Here is a 5649-nt window from a genome sequence, read left to right on the forward strand (position 1 = left end):
AGCTTAGCCATGCCTTTATGAATCTTCTCGTATAGTTGGAATGCCTTGATAAGTTTCATGAAAAAACATAATGCATTTGTCTCTATCTCCCTCTAGCTGAGACTCACTCATAAGAAAGTTCAAGGTATGTTCAAGCAGTGAAATAGTGAGCTCACTGGATGGAGAAGAGGGTTTTATTCACAGGTGCTGGAGAGAGATACCATCATAGAGGTAGACCCATTTGTGAGGATCTTGGCTTTCATCTTAATCATTAGATAATGAGAAGCAGGAAGCCATTCAAAGATTTTGAGCAGTGGAATGACATGATCCACCCAGCACTTCAGGAAGAGTGTTCTGGGAATCAGATGAAGTAGATATTAATAGTATATGGGAAGATGTTAGAGACACCAAAATGCAGACAGTTTGTGTTATGAGCAAAGTGTATGGAGATGGTAGGGAGCCATGACTTGGGAAGTATAGTGTTATCAACCAGTAAGCAATTGTGAGGCCATCCAGTAGAAAAGACCAAATTATTTTTTTCTGAATCAGACTGAAGTGACGTCAAATCCTTGCTCTGCCTTTACTTACTCTTGAGGCTGGGAAAGTAACTTGCTTTGTTGGTCCTCTTTGCTATACTACAAGTGAGTACCTAAGGAAAGTGTCCTGAGATGAGCACAGTAGGTTGTATCAGGCACCCTGAACAGTGCGTGCCATGCGCTAAGCTGCAAACTAATGCTGGTTCTTATTATCCGTGAAGTCGTTACAATGTTCACTCACTTGCATTTTTTCATTTCATCATTAGGGCTATTTTTTTCCTTATTTTTGAGAACGGAAACTGAAATATAGAAGGATTACATAATTTACCTGAATTCCTGCAGCTAGTAAGCACTGATACCCAGATTCAAATCTAGTTTGTCAATTTTCCAAGCCCCCACACTGCCTTTTTGTTTCCATTAAGAAACAACCGAAGTATAGATAAAGGTTATCATTCAAAACACAAAGAGGAAAATAGTGAATCAAATAAAAAACAAGTAAATTTCAGGTTTTGTAGATACAAAGCTAGAGGGAGCATAAGTAGTCAATAACTGATGGGTGTTAGCTTTCCATAGAAAGGTGAATCATCCTGGCCTCTGAGCCTGAACAGGCTCTGAAAAGGACACCTTGCCATGTCAGCAGTGAACTGAAGAGTCTTCAGTGACTCCCTCCTGCTTTAGGACAAAGGCCTAATCAACTTAATTTGCCTTTTGAAGTCTTCACCTTGGCCCTCACCTACATTTCAGCTCTACTTTCTAATCACTTCATTGGAATATGATTTGGAGTGGACCATTTCTTACACCACTGAAATCTTAAACTGCTTCTTCATGCTGACCCATATTCATCTCTCTGCTTTTCTGATACGTGGAGGCTGTGGTGGGGGCAGGGGGGTCAAGAGAAGGGGTTCTGGAACTTGATTTCTGAGGTTCGTTCACATCCTGGCTCTGCACCGCCTGGCTGTGGAACTTAAGCACTCTGTACTTCAACTGCCTTATCTGTAGAAGGGAATATAAATAATGCAATCTCATGGGTCATTTTGAGATTTAAAAGCCACCATTCATGAAAAGCACTTAGGAGAATTCCAGATATGTTATGGGAAGTCAGTCAATGTTTTTTCCTCTTATTAACTTTGGCCTTCTTTCAAAGTCCAGAGCAAAAATCTCCTCTTTTGAAAGGCCATATTTTACCATTACAATCTACAGAATCACCTGCACCTCTAGATTTCCTCTGATTTTCACAGAAATTACTTGGCATTTTTAACATATCTTATGTTATCATCTAATCATTTACTCGTGTGTGTGTATTTGTATGTGGTTTCTTAATTAGATTGTAAGCTACTTGAGAGTGGAATGCTTTCAAATAATTTTCTCCGACTTTTAGTGTAATTGATACAGTCCTTTCCAAATAGTAAGCTCTCAATGAATATTTGCAAACTGGGACATTTAAAAATGTTTGGATACGTAGCCACAGCTGTAGTACAAATTATTTTATCAGGTGTAAGCAAAAATAATAAATAACTAAGCTGGAGATTCGGAGGGAGGCTACTCTTGGTAAATTAAGGGGCATTTTCAACTTGTCCCATGTTTGATTTACCTGAATCTAGTATTTGAATAGCAGCCTCAGATTCCAGGCAGAACATCCTAGGTGAAGTAGAGACAAACACTACATTTGTTTGACAATTGGAATATCTTAGATAAACTTCTGAGGTCAGCCACCATATCTTCCTCTACTCACCTTTTAAATATCCTAAAGAAATCTATTCTTAATAATCAATTGGAATTAAAGAAGAGCACAGACATTTCAAATTAAATATCTTAATTAAACACACATCTGAGAACCTTAATTTAATGTATCACCTAAAGCTCTATGCTCTCAAGACATCTTAATTTATACTGTGTATAATCGCACCTTATTCTTTCACTTCAGACAGTAAATGGAGCAAGTAGCTCCTTGTGTTCTTAAAGGAGTTTAAAATTTCTATTATACAACAATATCACACATGCAAAGAGTCTTCATTTATTTTCAAGTATAAACTGTTTATCCAAGGCAGGTCATTAAGACTTAAAAAAAAAATTGAGGCACTCAAGCAAAGCAATCATAAACAAACAAAAGAGTAGGTATTATGATTATAGATTCAAGGATAATTAATATGATTAAGTTTAACTGGAGTTAAAGTAAACTTAAAACTCCAGTGAAACTAAAAAACAATTCTATTTCTCTTTGAGAAACAAAGAATCTTTTACTGCTGGCCAGAAATATGGATAAAAAAATGTATCACAGGAAGACACAGTAAATTTTATATTTTCTGCTTTTTGTAAAGTTAGCTTTATATTTTCATGCTAACTTTAAAAAGCAAAGCAAAAACTTTTTTCACCTGTAATTAAAAATAAGTATGCAGGACATTTGCTTCCTATGGGCTTAAATTTCCTTCCTCTTTTTTCCTCTCTCTTTCTTTCCTTCACTCCCTCCTTCCTTCCTTCCTCTTTCTTTTCTTCCTTCCTTCCCCCCTTCCTAATGAACCATTAACTCTACAAATAATTCAGTAAATAATTTTGATATAATTTCCACTGCTTTGGCAATAGAAAAATTTATTTTTTATTGAAAGTAGTTAGATAAAATAAAGTGGAGAATCAAGTAAGTTAAAGATTACACTCACGTATAAGAAGTTAAATGATTTAGAAGAACATCCTGACAATCAGTCTTGCCACCTCCATTGGGCCAATAAGACATTCTTTGGTGTCTTGTATGAGAACACTGGGAAACAATTAACAAGCGATAAAGAAAAGTCCTCAGACATTGTCATAGACAAATGTACTAAAATAACAAAAAAGCAAAAAATGTAAAAATATTTATATGCATAAGTTCTCAAATAACGAAAGCCATTTCTGATACTATTACAGACATATTTTATGCTTAGCATAAAATGATAAAGCATGAATATGATTTGATAACTTGAAGGTAAAGGGTGCATGTGATAAAGAATTACAATGTTTAAATAAATACCTAGAAACTATTTTCACCTATTTTAAATCTTCTCCCTTTTTCTTCCGATGTCATGCCATGCAATTCATTTAGATAGACTGGTTTGCCTAATGTATATGCAGTTGGATGATGGGTTATTTTTCCTCAGTGTTACGATGAACCTTTAAAATGGATTATATTCTACCGTCAAGCTAAGAATGATGTTTAAACATGACTTTCTCAGCATTTATCTCAGAGTGATTGAATTTGAGTGTCTCCTAGGAATAAAATATTTGATCAGAAAACTTTTGGATTACACTTCAAATGCAACTGCATAAACATTTCTTCCAGCCAATGTGAGACGTGAAATTGCTAAGAACAGGCGCATGATAACCTTGAGAAGAATATGTATTGCCAGTAGCCAAAACGTCCTATAATATGAAAACTGGAAATGGACCTCTCATTGACTAGGCTGGAGTAATTTCTGATGCACAGCTTTGAAGGCCCTCATTTGGTTTTTTAGGTCCTGCAACATTTGCCACCCTAGTACCTCCTCCATTCTATTTCCCTCAGGAAGAGTGCAGCCCAATGCCATATAAAACACAAAGCTAATACTTCTTGAAAATGACTGATGAATTGCATCTCTTAATAGGCTGAAAATAATCAATGGGGCATGAAAGGTGCCATGCCGGAGCTGCCTGACAATGCCAATACTAAAACAATCCTACAGCACAGGCAGAATGAGGAATGCAGCCAAATTGACCAAGTTCTCTTTGGTAATCAGTTAAGTGATATTAGTACACATTTCTCAAATAAAAATCATTACCTATCATTGAACAGCTCCCATCGTGAATAGGTTGTTATTTGTCTAGCACAAAGCATCACACAAAATAACTACCCTTTGTCACGAATGATGAACGCTTCCTCCAGAAAAGAAGATACGGCTGTCTGGAAATTCTAAAACATTTTCCCTTTAAGAGGGTACGCCAGTCTAATTTGTGGAATGATGAGGTCGTTGGTCTTGGGCCTTTGCTCACTTTTTATTTCTCTTCTTTAATCTCATTCTCTTCATTTTCTTTATTACTAAGAGGGAGGCAAACTCACAAAAACCTGTTATCTATTATCCTTGTTCCAAATTTTGCTGGTTCTGAGTCCCCAGGGTTTGAAGTCAATATGTTTGGTAATGACTTTTTACAAAGAAAAAGGAAAAGGAACAGAGATTGGATTTCAAGTGTTATGATAAATGCGTATCTGAACTTTCGGCTGGGTTTGGCTTAAAGAACTCAGCATCAATTGCATAGAAAGGCATATAGTCTGAGAAACTGAAATTGGACAGAACACTAAATAAAATGCCATATTTCTTTCTCTCTCTCTCTCTTTCATATTCTCTCTCCCCAATGCATGCACGCGTACACACACACACACACACACGTTTGTCCCTAATTCAATGGTAAAAAACTCAGGGACCTGCTTACCCATGTTGTAAGCAAAATGCAGTCGATAAAAGAGTTTTCTATCAGTTTAAGAAGCCAGAGTTATATAACTCATGCTTTTTATTCCCTTTCATTGATTTACTAATTGGTTTCAACTTAGCTTTATTGCTTGCATTTTGTTGGTGTATCAGGATGAAAATATATGTACAAGAGTATTCTGTCTTTAAAAATTATGCTAAAATGTGTTGAAACCCTGTTGGCAAAAGGAACTTTAAATGCAGTGTGTTTTAGAAATACACAATCCTTTAAAAATATTAATTTGTTTTGTGTAAGCCCTATGTAATAAGGGGGATTAACTGATAGTATCCCTTAAAAAGAAAAAATAAAATATAAAAAGTATCAGTTTCACCTGTTCCTACTTGTGAATAAGACCGCTTTTGAGGAAAACTCAGAAAATATTATTGTATTTTGAAATTAAAGTATAGATCTCCTTGTTTTCCTCCCCCATATATTTCCAAGTATTTTATTCTTTCCTTTCTGGAGGATGTGGTGTGTGTGCGCGTGTGTGTGCGTATGCATGTGTGTGTGTGTGCATATATATATATATATATATATATATATATATATATATATATATGTAATTGTGTGTATAATTATGTGAATCTTTGTTTTTTTCCTCATTGGAAACCAAAGTTTTCCAATTGTTGGAGCCAGTTTGGGTTTTAGCATCTTTGGTGCCTGG

Source organism: Homo sapiens, chromosome 6, assembly GCF_000001405.40.
Source record: "Homo sapiens chromosome 6, GRCh38.p14 Primary Assembly".
NCBI lineage: Eukaryota > Metazoa > Chordata > Mammalia > Primates > Hominidae > Homo > Homo sapiens.